Below are 18,352 nucleotides of genomic sequence, written 5' to 3' on the forward strand. Positions count from 1 at the left end.
TTAGCCATAAAAAAAGAGTAAAATCCTGTAATTTGCAACAACATGGATAGGACTGGAGGTCATCATGTTAAGTAAAATAAGCCAGGCACAGACATACAAATACCATATGCTATTCCTTGTATGTGGGAACTAAAGGTAGAGAGTAGAATGATAGATGTCAGAGGGTGGAAAGGAAGTATATGTGGATGGGCGGGGGTTGGTTATGACCTATAGAAATAAGTTTTAATGTTCGATAGCAGAATAAGGTGATGATAGTTAACAAAAATGTATTGTATATTTCAAAATAGCTAGAAGAGAGGACTGGAAATGTTCCCAACACACAGTCATAAATATTTGAGGTGATGGATATCCTAAATACTCTGACTTTATCATTACACATTCTACATATGTAACAAAATATCACACGTACCTCACAAACGTGTAGAAATGCTATGTATTATTATTATTTTTTTTTTATTTTTGAGACGGAGTCTTGCTTTGTCACCCAGGCTGGAGTACAGTGGCTCGATCTCAGCTCACTGCAACTTCTGCCTCCCGGGTTCTCAGGCAATTCTCCTGCCTCAGCCTCCCAAGTAGCTGGGACTACAGGTGCGTGCCACCACACCCAGCTAATTTTTTGTACTCTTAGTAGAGACAGGGTTTCACTGTATTAGCCAGGGTGGTCTCAATCTCCTGACCTCATGATCTGCCCACCTCGGCCTCCCAAAGTGCTGGGATTACAGGCATGAGCCACTGCGCCTGGTTTATTATTATTATTAATTAATAATAATAATTAATAATATTATTATTTATTATTATTATTAATTAATAATAATTAATAATATTATTATTTATTATTATTATTATTTTAAACAAAGGCCTCAGAACCAGGGGGCCAAAGGTGTAAATCTCAGTCCAATGAGAACACTGATGACCCAGCTCAAGCAAGTATGTAGGAATAAAAAGGGGTAAATTCCTCCTTCCTCCACCTTTTTTTTTTCTCCTTTTGAGGGCCTCAAGACATTGAATGTTGCCCACCTTCATTGAGAAGGGCAATCTACTTTAGTGAGTCCACTGTTTCAAATGCTAATTTCATTTGGAACAACCTCACAGACACACTTGGAAATGCCGTTTAATTTGGAAACTCCATGGAGCAGTCCAGTTGACATGGTTACCATGCCAGTCCTCTTAACCTTTTTCAGAGAATCAGCTTTCTTGGTAATCTGGACCCCTGGAAAAGTGTGTATATGTACCACATTTTTGTTGTACCCAGGGGATCCCTGAACTCATCTGTGAGCTGGTTAAAGCCTTGGACCCGCCCTCTTAGCAAACTGTCCACATCTTGTCCCCTGCACTCTGCACCACGACAATCAGGTGTCTTTCCTTGTGCACCTCTCCGCCTTATGGCGACATGAGGCACTTGCCACCTCTAAGGGTAAATCACTTGCTTTATTTAGTTCCTTCTCACAAATCAGATGGTGGACAATATAGAGCTAACATAAATAAAATAATGAAATGAACACAACCCTAGACCCCAGAAAGATTATGAACAAACCTTACTGAGTGGGGAAAAAATCTGACACCACTAAAACTTTCTCCAGCCCTACCAGCATTACTATGAAGTGTCTGATTGGTTTCAGGCTTTCACCAAAGTTGATACACACTATATTTTTTTTACCTGTAACTCAAGGGGACAAGTTTGGGATGTGGTCCTTTCATATTCATCCTATGCATACAGTGGTTCCAGGTTGGGTTCCCAGGAAAACAGATGCTGAGACGGAGGTTAGTGTGCAGGCTGTTTATTAGGGAGTCACACTTTGGAAATTAACACCTGTGGAAACAAGGGGTAGAACAAGTGTGGGCACAGGGAGATGTTAAGCTGTGAGGCAGGCCTGAGGACAGCCTCTGCCAATCCTCCAGCTTGCAGTAGAGCTAAGATGGCCCTTCAGAGTTGGCCTGCATTGGGAGGAATTGGCTGTGTCCTTATACTTCCTATCTCCGTCAATCACTGGGTGTTGGCGTCCCAGGAAATACTTGACTTTTGACCAGGTGGCCCCCTGCAGCTGGAGCAATCCCTGAAGCAATCTACAGCAAAAGACTATCTGCTGACATCATTCTTCCAGCAGCGGGGCCACAATCCCTTTTAGAAGGGTGCTTCTCCATGTCCATCACACAAGCTGATCCACTTTAAGTAAGCTTCAATTCACACTAGTTTGGTTGGTTTTAAATGGAGTCTGTTTCAGAAAAGCAGGATTTCTACTCTCAGAACTAATTCATTCAAATAATATTCATAAAATGCCTATGATGTGCCAGTTACTGTTTTAGGTGATGATGATATGGTGCTGAAAAGACTCTACCCTCAGTCTAGTGGAGGACTTAGAAAATAAAAAGATAAGGCAATAAATAACATAATTTCAGATAATGACAAGTGCCTTGAAGAAATTAAAGCAGGGTGAGAAAATAAAAAATGACTGGGTAGGGGTGAAGGAGGTGCTAGCTTAGGTTAGTGGTCAGGGAAGGTGACATTTGAGTAGAGACTTGATTGAAAGGTAAGGCAAGTCCTGTGAAACTCTGGGGCTAAGAGTGTTTCATGCAGAGAAAAGGAAATGTAAAGACCTCGAGCACAACTGAGCTTTGCACATTTAGGGGGCAGCAAGGCCAGCTAGGGGGAGTGATAGAGAAGGGGTAGGGTCAGAGAATCAAGGCCTATGGGGCCAGGGGGCCTGAAAAGGAATGGAGATTCATTTTAAATATAATTGAAAATCCCTGGAGAGCTTTCAACAGCATAGAGACAAAACCTACTTTACATTTTAAAACTGTCTGTGGAGAATGGGCAAGAGGATGTGTGGAAATAAAGATAATGGATTCAACATTTTTTATTGTAGTAAAATATGCGTAACATTGAATTTACTATTTTAAAGTTTTTTGAGTGTACAATTCAGTACATTCACACTTGTGCAACTGAAACCGACCCAATAGTCCCACAGAGGGTTCTTTTGGATAAACGTAGAAATTGACCCCTCTGGTCTTACAGCTTGAAACTCACAACTGTTTTTTTTTGTTTGTTTGTTTTGTTTTGTTTTGTTTTGTTTTTGAGACAGAGTCTCGCTCTATCACCCAGGATGGAGTACAGTGGCGCAATCTCGGCTCACTGCAAACTCTACCTCCTGGGTTCACGCATTCTCCTGCCTCAGCCTCCCGAGTGGCTGGGACTATAGGCGCCCGCCACAACGCGTCGCTAATTTTCTTTTTTGTATTTTTAGTAGAGGCGGGGTTTCACAGTGTTAGCCAGGATAGTCTAGATCTCCTGACCTCGTGATCCGCCCGCCTCAGCCTCCCAAAGTGCTGGGATTATAGGCGTGAGCCACCGCGCCTGGCCAACCCACAATTGTTTTATCTGAATTCTTTCCTCAGGAAATAACCCCCAGGCCTCTCAAAAAGTATCAAAGAACTGAAACTCACCAGATTACTGCATCCAGAGCCAGGCCTCTCATATTGTTTTCCTACTCTTCCCTAGTTCCGGTTCCCTCACACATTGTTACATTTCTTGCCTGCTATATAAACCCCTAATTTTAATCAGTCAGGGAGATGGATTTGAGACTGAGCTCCCATTTCCTTGGCTGCATCACCCGATTAAATCCCTCTTCCTTTGCAATACTCGTCATCTCAGTCATTGGCCTTCTGTGCAGTGAGCAGCAGGCACTAGACTGAAGCCTTGTTGTTTCAGGAACACAACCATCACCACTATCCATCTCCAGAAATTTTCCATCAGTCAAACAGAAGCTCTGTACCTATTAAACAATAGCTCTTCATTTCCCTCTCCCTCCAGCCCCTGGTAACCATTATTCTATTCTTTCTATATGAATTTGACTATTCTAGGTATCTAAGTGGAAGTACACAGTATTTGTCCTTCTCTGTCTGGCTTATTTCACTTAGTGTAATGTTTTCAAGGTTCATCCATGTTATAGCATGTATCAGAATTTTATTCATTTTTGAAATTGAATATTTTATTCCATGTTCATACCACATTTGTTCATCCAACCATCAGTGAAAGTTTAGGTTGCCACAGCTTCCACTAATCACTACACCCTACAAAATGAACTTCATTGTATATTATGTTCATTGTCAATGAAAATAGATAAAAATCCATACATTGTCTTCTTGCTTATTTTGAATTTTGGTGGTCTGTTTTCTTATAACATCAGCTTATCATAATTCATCTCAGGTTGATAAAGATTTTGCACTAGGAGGAGAAGCTCTACATAAAAGTCTTTTCGTTGTTGTCCAAGGAAAAACTTGCTATTTTTTTGTTAGTATTATCTTCAAAATGTACTTTACAGGAATGTTTTTAATTCACTTGCCTAGTTTGTGAGAATTAAATTAGTTAAAATTACAAATATAATTTCTACATCCACTTAATTATTGCACAACAATTCTACAAGCCCACTGCCCTTGATAGAATATTATTTTCCATGTTGGCAGGAATGAGGAGGTGTCCCAGTGACACAGAATGAGGTCTGGCACATAGGAGATGCTCAGTGAGTATTTGTTGACTGTAAAGTTTAATAACATGCAGGAGGGTACCATCTACTTGTGGTATCGTGGGGAACCTCAGCATATCTCGTGACAAATGATCATAGGACATGTGGTCAGAATGAGAATCCCAGTGTCAGTCAGTACATTAATGTGTTGGGGATAATTTCTTATTTTTTTAGATTAAAAGAAAATGTAAATGGAAATTTTAATACTTTCTTCCTATATTCCAATGGATCATCTTGTACTGTGTATCCTTCTTGAAAACTGGTGATTTTTGACTTCAGAGGAAAATTATACTTTACTGAATCGACTTTATTTTTCTCAATTTATTTTCAATTATCTGTTTCAGGGAAATGTTGACTTAGCTTAGGTCTCTATTGTGAGATGTAAATTGTGTGAAATCCTATTACATTTTGTTTATTAGTGATTCTATTTAATGAAGGCAGAACATCTTATTAAACATGACTAAATGATTATCTTTGATAACAGAATTGAACTTAGGCCATAAATGAGTCAATAAATTAATTGCTTGTCCCCACTGGTATTCAAAGAGATGCATCGGATCTCTACGTAAGCTAGAAATGCTTATGGGCCTGTCGGCCAGTAGCATACCAAAATACTGTGTCTAGGCTGTGAGACATGGTTTAATGACCACTTCCAGAGGGTAGCTGCTGGCATTTTCTCCAATGTTCTCTCAGCTGCTGCTGCTTTTATTCAGCTGTGACAGACAATAAAGAACCTTCCAGGACCTACTGCAGCCACGGCCCCAATTATGGCTCAGATGTCATCCGAGGTAAGAAAAGACAATGTGACCACAAGCTTCCATGAGATCAGTATGCATTTCAATACAAGTGCTCTACAGAGATCCTTCCTTCAAAGAAACAGCTAGAAAAGCTCCAAGTCCTTGATGCTACCGCTAATAAATATAAATTCTCTATATTTTTCCCTTTGTTAAATTATGTATATTTAATTTGAATAATCAAGACACTTAATTCTGAGAAAACAAGCGGCCTATTTGTGTCAACCCATTACTTCTAGCTTTATTTCTCTACACATAAAATACAAAGGGCTCCTGACTCTTGTGATTGCTACAGTGAATAGAAGGCTTGGTTTCTTGATGTGGAAGCTACCACACTAGCCTGCCACATGAAATTAGAGCAAGTTAGAGCACTTGTGCATTTCAGTTTACTTATTTGTTGAGCCTAATTATGCTAGATTACTTAGAGAACTGATTGGTCTTTGATCCAATTGAGAAAGGATCCCTCCAAAGCAAACTGTGGCAACATTTGTTTATATCCTGGCAATGTTTTTGAAAAGAGGCCCTTTTAAAGAGACAAGCAAATGTGAAATACAGCATACTTTGTTTTATTTATTGTTTTATTCACTTTCTTTTCTTTTTTGTCTATTTTGTAGAAACAGAGTGTCACTATGTTGCCCAGGCTGGTCTCAAACTCCTGGGCCCAAGCGATCCTCCTGCCTTGGCCTCCCAAAGTGTTCTGATTACAGGTGTGAGCCGCTGCATCCAGCCCCTGTTTTATTCACTTTATTGTGCTTTGCAGATACTATGTATTTTACAAACTGAAGGTTGTGGCAACCCTGGATAGAGCAAGCCTATTGGCATCATTTCTCTCTCTCTTTTTTTTGAGACAGAGTCTCACTCTGTCATCCAGGCTAGAGTGTGGTGGTATGATCTTAGGTTCAAGTGATTCTCATGCCTCAACCTGCTGAGTAGCTGGGATTACAGGTGCATGCCACCATGCCTGGCTAAATTTTGTATTTTTAGTAGAGACAGGGTTTTGCCATGTTGGCCAGGCTGGCGTCGAACTCCTGGCCTCAAGTGATTCACCTGTCTTGGCCTCCCAAAGTGTTGGGATTACAGGTGTCAGCCACTGTGCCTGGCCTATTAGCAGCATTTTTCTAATAGTGTGTACTCACTTCACATCTCTGTGTCACATTTTGTTAATCTTCATAATATTTCAAACTTTTTTTTATTGTTATGGTGATCTGTGATCAGCAATCTTTGATGTTACTATTATAATTGTATTAGGGCATGGTGAACTGCAACCATATTAGACAATGAACTTAACTGATAAATATTATGTGTGTTCTGACTGTTACACCAACTGGTCATTCCTCCAGCTCTCTCTCTCCGTGGGCCTCCCTATTTCCTGAGACAACAATATTGAAATTAGGGCAGTTAACAACCTTACAATGGCCTCCACATGTTCAACTGAAAGGAAGAGTTGCACTTCTCTCACTTTAAGTCAAAAACTAGAAATTATTAAATTTAGCGAGAAAGATATGTCAAAAGCCAAGGCTGACTGAAAGCTAGGCCTCTTTTTTTTTTTTTTTTTTTTTGAGACGGAGTCTCACTCTGTCGGCTAGCTGGAGTGCAGTGGTGCCATCTCAGATCGCTGCCATCTTGGCTCGCTGCAAGCTCCACCTCCCAGGTTCACACCATTCTCCTGCCTCAGCCTCCCAAGTAGCTGGGACTACAGGCGCCCGCCACCACACCCGGCTAATTTTTTGTATTTTTAGTAGAGATGGGGTTTCATCTTGTTAGCCAGGATGGTCTCGATCTCCTGACCTCATGACCCGCCCGCCTCGGCCTCCCAAAGTGCTGGGATTACAGGCGTGAGCCACCACGCCCAGCCAAAGCTAGGCCTCTTGTGCCAAATAGCCAAGTTGTGAATGCAAAGGAAAAGTTCTTGAAGAAAATTAAAAATGCTATTCTAGTGTACACACAAATGATAAGAAAGAAAAAACAGCCTTATTGTTGCTATGGAGAAAGTTTCAGTGGTCTAGGTGGAAGATCAAACCAATCACAACATTCCTTTAAACAAAAGCCTAATCCAAAGCAAGGCACTAACTCTCTTCAATTCTATAAAGTCTGAGAGAAGTGAAGAATCTACAGAAGAAAATTTTATAGCTAGCAGAAGTTGGTTCATAAGGTTAAAGAAATGAAGCCATTTCCATAATATACAATGCAAAGTGAAGCATCAAATGCTGATGTAGGAGCTGCAGCAAGTTATCCAGAAGCTCTAGCTTAGATTATTAATGAAAGTGGCTACATTACATATGCACTACGGAATACACTGAAGCCACAAAAAGAACAAGACCACGTCCTTTGCAGGGACACAGATGGAGCTGGGAGGCCGTTATCCTTAGCAAACTAACACAGGGACAGAAAAGCAAATACCTCATCTCACTTATAAGTGGGAGCTGAATTATGAGAACACATGGACACATAGAGGGGAACAAAACACACTAGGGCCTATCAGAGGGTGGAGGGTGGGAGGAGGAAGAGAATCAGGAAAAATAACTAATGGTAATAGCCTTATACCTGGCTGATGAAATAATCTGTACAACAAATCTCCTTGACACAAGTTTACCTATGTATCAAACCTGTACTTGTACGTCTGAACTTAAATAAAAGTTGTAGCTACATTAACAAGAGATTTTTAATGTAGATGAAACAGCTTTCTGCTGGGAGAAGATGCCATCTAGTACTTTCATAGCTAGAGAGAAGTCAATGCCTAGTTTCAAAGCTTCAAACGACAGACCCACTCTCTCGTTAGGGGCTATTGCAGTTAGGGACTTTAAGTTGAAGCCATGCTCATTGATCATTCTGCAAATCCTAGGGCCCTTGAGAATTATGATAAATCTACTCTGCTTGTGTTCTATAAATGGAATAACAAATCCTGGATGACAGCACATCTGTTTACAGAACGGTTAACTGAATATTTTAAGCCCACTGTTGAGACCTAATGCTCAGAAAAAAACGATTTCCATTCACTGCTCACCCAAGAACATGTTCACCCAGGAACTCTGATGGAGATGTACAAGGAGATTAATGTTGTTTTATGCCAGCTAATATAACATCCATTCTGCAATCCATGGATCAAGAAGTAATTTCAATTTACAAGTCTTATTTAAGAAACAAATTTCATAAGGCTATAGCTGTAATAGATAGCAATTCCTCTTGTGGATCTGGGCAAAGTAAATTGAAAATCTGTAAAGGATTCGCTAGTCTAGATGACATTAGAATATTTGTGATTCATGGAAGGAGGTCAAATATTAATATTAACAGGAGTTTAGAATAAGTTGATTCCAACCTTCATGAATGACTTTGAGAGGTTCAAGACTTTAGCCAAGAAAGAAATTGCAGATATGGTGAAAATGACAAAAGAACTAGAATTAGAAGTGGAGCCTAAAGATCTGACTGAACTACTGCAATCTCATGATCAAACTTGAATGCATATGAAGTTGCTGGTTTTTTTTTTTTTTTTTTTTTTAGATGGAGTCTTGCTCTGTCGCCAGACTGGAGTGCAGTGGCGCCATCTCGGCTCACTGCAACCTCCATCTCCCGGGTTCAAATGATTCCCCTGCCTCAGCCTCCCGAGTAGCTGGGACTACAGGCACCTGCCACCACACCCGGCTAATTTTTTCTATTTTAGTAGAGACAGGGTTTCACCATGTTGGCCAGGATGGTCTCAATCTCTTGCCCTCGTGATTCACCTGCCTCGGCCTCCCAAAGTGCTGGGATTACAGGCGTGACCCACCACACTTGGCCCGAAGACTTATTATTATCCCATCAGCCTTTCTCTCATGGAATTTGGCCTCAAAAATTAAGTAAACATTTAAGTCAAAAGGAGAGTGAGAATATTGCCTTCTAGCCTTTCATATAAGATTTGCTGGTATTTAATGAGGCCTGATTCTGCCTGGCACTGTGCCAATGCCCTTATTTACTGGTGAGAAAACTGAAGTTCAGAGATGTAAAGTTATATGGTCTAGCTCACATAGCTTCTGTGTGGTGAAGCTGGGGTTCCAACTCAGGTCTAATTCCATTAGAGTCTTGCGTCTTTCCTGCCTACTCATATGTACCAAGACTCAGCTAGTACAGGAGTTGGGCAAGGTACTGAGACTACAAGGGGGAATGGGTGGTGAGTCTACTTTCTGGGTATAGTCAAATTCATTTTCATACCTGATCATTCATTCATCCAGTATGTATTAAGCAACTACTACGTGCAGACCCTTTTCTTTTCTTTTTTTTTTTTTTTTTTTTTGAGACGGAGTCTCGCTCTGTCACCCAGGCCGGACTGCGGACCTCAGTGGCGCAATCTCGGCTCACTGCAAGCTCCGCTTCCCGGGTTCACGCCATTCTCCTGCCTCAGCCTCCCGAGTAGCTGGGACTACAGGCGCCCACCACCGCGCCCAGCTAATTTTCTGTATTTTTAGTAGAGACGGGGTTTCACCTTGTTAGCTGGGATGGTCTCGATCTCCTGACCTCATGATCCACCCGCCTCGGCCTCCCCGTGCAGACCCTTTTCTAGGTGCTGGAGAGACAACTAGGAACTATATAGAAATGGTCCTTTAAGAAACCTAGGGGTTGCTAGGAAAAGCAGACAAGTGAATGAGCAATAACATGACGTGTCATACATGCTACTCTTAAGGTATTAAAAAAATCCTACTGGAGCACAGAAGAGGGGAGGATAATGCTTATGAGTGGGGAATGTTTATGTCATATCTGAAGTGGTTGATAAATGAAGGTAGAATGTTTAAATTCTAAAGACTTACCTCTCAGACATTTTACTATTTTTTCTCTAAAATTTATCTGTTTCTTTCTTTCACACACACACACACACACACACACACACACACACACACACACACATCTATGATATATCCTAATATAGCCGGAGACCATGGGAACTGAAGTTTCATCATCAGCTGAGTTAGTGTGTGAATGGGTAGCAAGAGCTCTAGCATCACCAACAGCAGATGACCAGGTCATCTATGCTAAGTAAGAAGGTCTCCTCTTCCATGGCCTTCTCTTCATCAAGAAAAGACTCTAGCCAACCAAACTGTGCTTAGGTTCAGACAACAAAGCTCCTACAGCCCCAAGGAAAAAAGAAAATGGAAACTTCATAGCATCCTGCTATAAAGTTTCTGATCATTTCTTCTTGGATTTCTTTCACGGATTCAGCTTCCCCTCCCCTTTATAGTTACTTATTTTTCTTTGGTGTCAGTCTTGGATGGCACACTCAGCATGTGGGTCCTCTTTAGATGTGCACTCATTTTTAAGAAATCATATTTCAGAAACCAGTGGAAGCTTTATCATTATCCAGGCAGCTCATTCCCATACACTGAATTACATTTTAAGCAAATTGAAGGAAATTTCTTCTCTCAGACACATAATTCTCAAGTTTGGCCTTTGACAAAGTAAGATTATAATGTGATTTCTCCAATAAAAGGGAAACATTGTTTTCATTTTTGGCAATAGCGGAAAAAATGATATTGAATGTTACAATTGAATGTATAATTTTTCTTCCCAATGGATGTATTCTACAAATGAGCTAAATATTTTAAATGTCTCATAAGATTGATAAATGATGGCTAAGTTTATTTTGTGAATAATTTTATCGTCTACCTTATGTTTTAGGAAAAAAATAAACATCTCTCTGGCATAACACTGTGGTATAAACACTATTTGTTTTTCAGAAACTAGATGAAATTTCATGTTTCTGCTTTTCTCATTATTCTTTCATAAAGTTTATATATTTTGAGGATAACTATATTTTGAAGAAAGGTTAAAAATTATTCATCCACTTACCTAAGAAATTACCTACTGGTGAGGATGAGTGCAAATATCTTTAAAAGTAAATAAAGTTGGCAATGTACTAAGCCATCCTGCAGTTTCAGATTCAGTTGTTCTTCTAAAGAGAATGTGATTCTGGCTATGCTGAGAGAGCCTGCAGCAAGTACTTGAAATCCAACTTTGACAGGTTAGCTCTGACATCTCTGGGCTTTGTGGCTCTCCACTATATAATACCACACCTTGTTAAAATGTCAATATAATTTACAATGAACTTACAGAGACAACCAGTAGTAGCCTCAAGGCACATATAATTAAGCATTGCTGCAATAGAAAAAAATTATTTCTCTAAAGCCAAATATCTGCAACAAAACTATCACGCCCATTGGGCAGATGCCTAAGCAAGCTATGTCATGGTTCACCCAAAGCCATATCCTTGTGCTGTAGAAAGTGATGGTCTGGGTTTTATCTCCTATTGGATTAATCATTTGGCCATTTTCCTTTCCTAGACAGAAGCTTTTTATTTATTCCAAGATAGCGCCTATTTTGTAAAAAGGAAAATAACCCACGTTAAACATGTAATAGTCTAACCCATGTTAAACATGTAATAGTCTATTTCTCTACTTACCTCAATATTTCTAACTATAAAGTAGGCGCAGGGTACTCACTTTAAAATCATGGGATACATGGGAGGAAGAGGGAAGGACTCATGCTGGAAACAGCAGAAGGAAAAGAATTCCCTATTGGTTTTTAATATGTGCCTGTCCCAGGTGCTTAATGAAACCTTGTAAATCTTCATCTTCCAAACGACTGGATTCAGTTTTTGGCAAAATAATACATTTTGGGCATCTTAACAGGGACTGCAGGGACATAGGGAGATGAGAAATATATCTCTGGATTTACTCCGCTAAACTTAAAAGTTTTGTTTCTTTTGGAGAAAATCAACCCTCTTGATCATTTTACCTAGACCAGAGTTTCCCTAGGTAAGGTAAAAGTTTCCCTACTTGGCAGTTGAAAAGTACAATTACCACTTACACTATTTTTAAGCTACACAGATGTTAAAATTATCTCTACTCAAAAACTTTGGTGAATTGTTTTCAGATCTTTGAAGCAAAGCTATTGTGTGATTAATGACCTCATTTCTGACCAGTTTTGAATGGTGGAGTCCATGGTCTGTCAGGATGAGAGAAACCAAGATGCTGGTGACACTTCTTTCTCTAGTGCCAGTCTCCATCCTTTAGCTGAGAAAAAGATGATTGCACGGGCATTCAGGGGGTTAGCTAAGATGTTTTGCTGACACAAAAATGGTGTCTGCTTTTGCAAAGGCCTGGGTTACAAGTTATATTGTTTTTCTTTAAAAAATTAGCCCTGGAGCCTGCGGCTAACACATGCCCCTTTTCACTTGAGTTGGCAGGGAATTTTTAAAAGTTTTCTGGTGTGGCCAAGATCTGAGAATTACTTATTTATATTTACCATTTGTATATAATTATATTTAGTGTAGATTTGGCTACAGGATTCCTGTGTACCCATTAGAAAATGGCACTATTCTGACCAACTCTAGATATTTTACCATGAGTATGTTTTATTCCATCAAGTCATTTATGTCTTCAAATTGTAATTTTCCTCTCTTAAAAGAAAGATGTTTTAATTTTATCTTCAAAATCAAAACTTTGTCTGCTCCCTGAATTTTGTTCTTTACAAGTTGGATAGCATCAAAAACCAGCAGTTTTTCTACTTTTTTTCTTCCACTTAAATGATTTACATGTTACAGAAAATATAGGATGGAGGTTTGTCTTCTGCCCTACTCTCCCAACTCCCTGTGATAAAGGCACCGACACAAACAGAAATAAAACCTACTTGAACATTAAGAGTCTTAGTTTAATAGACTTCTCTGGGAATCATAAGAGAATTTCCTTCTAAAATAATGCTGTTTATTTAACAGTGGGACTAATGGTAAACTGAAATTCATTACATATTCATGAAACTGACTTATAGCAAAAGCAAATCTTAAAGGGAAAATCTTGGAACTGAGACTCCCAATATTATAGCTGGCATATAATTTTTTAAACAACTGATTAAGTTCAAAAATTTTATTTTGACCTCTGAATTTGTTATACACTCACTTTGCCTACTCTTAGAAAGTGAAAATTTCCAGATTGTTGAAGATTCTCTACTATAATAATCTAATATCCATAATCTACGGATGTGACAGAAGGATGGAAAAATTGCTATGAATGTGATTCCCTCTGGAGGCAAAAGGCGGAAATGTCTTTAGGAAACAAATCATAAATTTCCTTAGCTGGAGAAAGCGTGAAATATAAAATCTAAACATGAAAAATTTCCACATAGTTGATGTAAAGTTAACTTGATGGGGAAGAGACAGCTGCAAACTAGAAACCAGGGAGGGGGAAAAAAAAGCTAATCTGAGACAGGATAATAAATGAGGAAACTGACAGTTTCATCAAAGGTCAAAGGAAATAGGTAGAAGTGTCAAAGTGTGGTCTGGGATGCTCACATCTAATAGAGGGCCTGGCTGCTCTTGTCATTCCCCTGGGGCTGTAGTGATTGAATGGAGGCTGCTTCCAGTGGCAAGCTAATTCCTCACCAGGGCAAGTAGAAGGATGGTGCAGAAAGACAGAGACTGTCAGGGACTGTTTCAGTATTAGGGAGCTACTGCCATGTAATTGTTTACATTCCAGATCCAGCCTCCAGACTAAAAGTTGACCAAATTATTTATGGAAACATATCAGCGTTCAGTTTCCTAAAGGACCTAACATGTTGGTTTTGCTAAACAACTTATGACCAAAATAATAGAGGGGAGGAAAGGAGAGCAGTCCAAAGCACAGTGCCTCATGAGCTTCATTCAGTAAACAGAGCAATTAACCCCAAATTAAGACTCTATTTTTTGCAAATAAATTTTTATTTTGTTCTTATTAAGCCTCTGTTCATATTTCCACCTTTTAAAAAAAAAAAAAAAAAACTACAGGGTGAGCTGGCAGGAATGATGGGCAGGGGATCCAGAACAAGGAGGAGTCACCAATAGATAGGACCTTCTATCTCTCTCCCCATATCTCTCAAAGATTTACTGTGATCCAATTACTATGTGTCACCAGCAGTCTGTCATTTGATTCTTACAACATACTAGGAAGTAAAACTGGGACTCAGAGAGCTTAAGAAACTTGGAACTTGCTGAAGGTTACACCGCTGTTCAGTCATGGAGTGTGCGAGGGAACTTGAATGGTGGAAACACCAACTTTCCAGAGGTCTCCTTCCCAGGAAGTTGACAGCAGGGGCTCGTGGCCTCTCTGCTGGGACATAGGCAGGGGTCACTGCAGGTGTATCCACATCACTGTCACATGTAACTTGTCTGTTATCAGTAGAAAGGCAATCTTTCCAGCCCTCTTCTAGACCGAAAGGTAAGTAGGGCTGTCCCTTTTTTGCTGTCATCTCACATCCTAGAAAGTGTTATCTAATCACCAGTGCCTACTCTTTGTAGTGATGAAAAAGACACAAGTATAGAAAGTCATTTTATAGGTTATGCTTATTTCCTGTAAAAGGGTTTAATTGCATTCTCCTTTTGCCTCGCAGATGCTAAATAAGGGGTCTTTAACTCTTAGAATAAGTTTGTGATCCTTAGAACACATCCTTTTCTTGTTGCCTCTTAGTTACAGATTATAAGCAGAAATAAGTGAGCACCTTTTTTTTTATAGCTGGAGAGAAGGAAGCAGCGAAATGAAACAAGGACAAACATGTATTCTTTTCAGAAACCCCAGATATTTCCAACTTTCAAGTATGTTCAGGTCATGTGTATTCAGTTTGATACCACAATTGCTAACTATGAAAAGGAATTTTGAAGCTAATATTTTACAAATAAAGGAGAAGGCAAATGATTTTTTTCCCACAAGTTAAAAATTACACAGTATGCTAAGGCTGTATTATAGAATTATATTGAACATGGGAGGCAGAAGCAAATTGATAGATACATTTATAGATGAAAGGGGGTAGAAATAATTTGAGTTTAACTAGATAAAGTAAACTATCTTATCCTCAAATGACTAAGTGTTTAGTCATTTTGCATATTAATGTAGTGATGGATTTTAAGATATGAAACTATAAGATGTTATGAAAATTTTAAAATAAAATTAAAGAGCTTTCATATAAATACATCCTAATATAGATTAGCTTTTTTTTTTTTTTTTTTTTTGAGACAGAGTCTCACTCTGTCGCCCAGGCTGGAGTGCAGTGGCACAATCTCGGCTCACTGCAAGCTCCGTCTCCTGGGTTCACGCCATTCTCCTGCCTCAGCCTCCTAAGTAGCTGGGACTACAGGTGCCCGCCACCACACCTGGCTAATTTTTTGTATTTTTAGTAGAGATGGGGTTTCACCGTGTTAGCCAGAATGGTCTTGATCTCCTGACCTTGTGATCTGCCCGCCTCGGCCTCCCAAGGGAGGGATTACAGGTGTGAGCCACTGCGCCTGGCCTAGATTAGCTTTTAAAAAATTATTTATTTTCATCTAAAGTTATATGTGCTTTCAAAATAATCTTGAGTAACTTCAAAGTATTTTAATTGAATAAATGCCTATTCAAGCATACTTGGTGGAATTAAAACAGTAAAAACATTCACGCCGTTGGCCAAGATTATTTACTTCTTAATGCTGATTTTTGACAACTGACTTTGTAAAACATACTTTATTTCCTATGCCAAGAGAGAGGAACCATAAAAGGAACTAAATTTTGCATAAAACTGTTTATTATTATTTTAAAAAGTTAGGGAAAGGAAGAAAAACTAATAGATTAACATGGACATCTAATCTGCCTTGTGAAAAGAGAAATTTTCCTAAATTTGCTCCATCTTTCCAAGTGAAGTTATACTTTTACATTTTTTTTTTTTTTTTTTTTTTTTTTTGAGATGGAGTCTTGCTCTTTCGGCCAGTCCGGACTGCAGTGGTGCTACCTCGGGCTCACTGCAAGCTCCGCCTTCCGGGTTCACACCATTCTCCTGCCTCAGCCTCCTGAGTAGCTGGGATTACAGGCACCTGCCACCGCACCAGGCTAATTTTTTGTATTTTTAGTAGAGATGGGGTTTCACCGTGTTAGCCAAGATGGTCTCGATCTCCTGACCTCGTGATCTGCCCACCTCGGCCTCCCAAAGTGCTGGGATTACAGGCGTGAGCCACCACGCCCGGCCTACATATTAATATTCTTAAGTGCAAAGTTTTAAGTAAGTTGGAAATGAACATGGTATGAGTTGATGGCAATGTTTTAAATAGAAATCCTCAACCTAGGGCCGGGTGCAGTGGCTCACCCCTGTAATCCCAGCACTTTGGGAGGCCCAGGCGGGTGCATCACCTGAGGTTAGGAGTTCAAGACCAGCCAGGCCAACATGGTGAAACTCCATCTCTACTAAAAATGAAAAAAAAAAAAAATCTGCCAGGTGTGGTGGTGCGCACTTGTATTCCCAGCTACTTGGGAGGCTGAGAATTGCTTGAACCCAGGAGAGGGAGGTTGCAGTGATCCAAGATTGCTCCACTGCACTCCACCCTGGGCGACAGAGTAAGATCCCATCTCAAAACAAAACACAAAAGAAATGCTCAACCCAGAACTTCTAACTTGTCCAATATATACCAGCCAAAAAGCAAAGCTAAGCTGTGTTATGTGCAGAAACGTATATTTACGTGAGGAGGTATAGTTAATGTGATTCTTCTTTTTCTTTTTTTTTTTTTTTTTGAGATGGAGTCTCGCTCTGTCTCTCAGGATAGGGTGCAGTGGGTGATCTCGGCTCACTGCAATCTCCACCTCCCAGGTTCAAGCGATTCTCCTCCTTCAGCCTCCTGAGTAGCTGGGATTACAGATGCATGCCACTATGCCTGGCAAATTTTTTGTATTTTTAGTAGAGACAGGGTTTCACCATGTTGGTCAGGCTGGTCTTGAACTCCTGACCGCCCACCTCGGCCTCCCAAAGTGCTGGGATTACAGGCATGAGCCATGCCATCGCGCCAGGCCAATGTGATTCTTAATGAGCCAAGGAGGTGTGGTATATGGCATAAGGACTTCCTGCCAGTCCTTTTCTGTGCCCTCCAGTTTATTTATGGACTTGTACCCAAAAGAACGCCCATGCTTACTTGCAAATGAACTTTGTCTATATGAATAACAGAAGGAACACCTTCCAAGGCGACATTTCATATGTCTCAGTGGGAGGACAGTGGCATTTCTTTTGGGTACCACTGGGACATAGCAACTGGTTCCCTTCAGTTTATCTAGTGAGAGAACCAGGATGCGCTATGGAGTTTATTCCAAAAAAGAGGAATTTCTTCTTCCTCAGTAAGCCACAAAGGACCCCAAAGGTATCTCTTCCCAATTTTGACAATTTCCTCACTAATCCAGGCTCAGATTAAAGAATTTAGCAAGATGTAGAACAGTGATTCTCAATAAAGAATAATTTTGTTCCACAAAGGCCATTTGACAATATGGAGACCATGTTGTCACAGCTGAGGAAGGGGTGCTACTGGTGTCTAGTGGATAGAGGCAAGAGATGCTGCCAACCCTCTTACAATGCACAGGGCAGTGCCCCACAACAAAGAATTATCAGACCCACAATATCAATAGTGTGGAGGCTGAGAAACCTTGATGCAGACCAAATGGAGGAAGAAATAAAAAGGCAACAGAATACCATATTACCTCAAATAACTCAGGGACCATCAATTTAAAGTAAATTCCAATAGTCCACAGATACACCGTGGGCACCTCCCAGGCATATTGGGGGACCCCCGGAAGGTTGCTGTGATAATTCCTTTTAATGGCCTTATATTTCTTAGGAAAACGTCCCAGCTAGGATGCAGTTTTAAAAACTCATTAGTATCATCATTGTAAATGTCTTCAGTACCACACCACAGAGGAATCATGGTGTGAGCGTGTTTTAAAAAGCAGTCGCTGCTTTGTTTTATGAGAAACCACAACAACAAAATAATGTTTCATTTTTCTACCACATTTTTACAACAATTTTCTCTACTCTGAGGCTGAATATCTTCTCTAAAATATTCAAAGCACAGAGTGTGATTTATAACTATAAAATATCTCTGCTGACTTTAAAGTTCAGCTTTTGTAGTTGCTTTGTTTTAAATTTTTTTTTATTTTTGCATTTCACACCAAATTAGACTTGAGTTGCCCACTGATTATCTTTTAGCTAACATAGCCTTGGTTTCATCATGCAAATAGAAAAAAATAAAGTATTAATGATTTT

At 39.8% G+C, this 18,352-nt stretch overlaps 1 long non-coding RNA gene across 1 annotated transcript in view; it reads right to left on the reverse strand.

The window, feature by feature from the left end:
* Window positions 1–18,352, reverse strand: part of LOC105375416 (uncharacterized) — a 237,202-nt gene that overhangs the window by 40,139 nt on the left and 178,711 nt on the right. The gene's annotated exons all lie outside the window — the stretch shown is intronic.

Source organism: Homo sapiens, chromosome 7, assembly GCF_000001405.40.
Source record: "Homo sapiens chromosome 7, GRCh38.p14 Primary Assembly".
NCBI classification, from domain to species: Eukaryota; Metazoa; Chordata; class Mammalia; order Primates; family Hominidae; genus Homo; species Homo sapiens.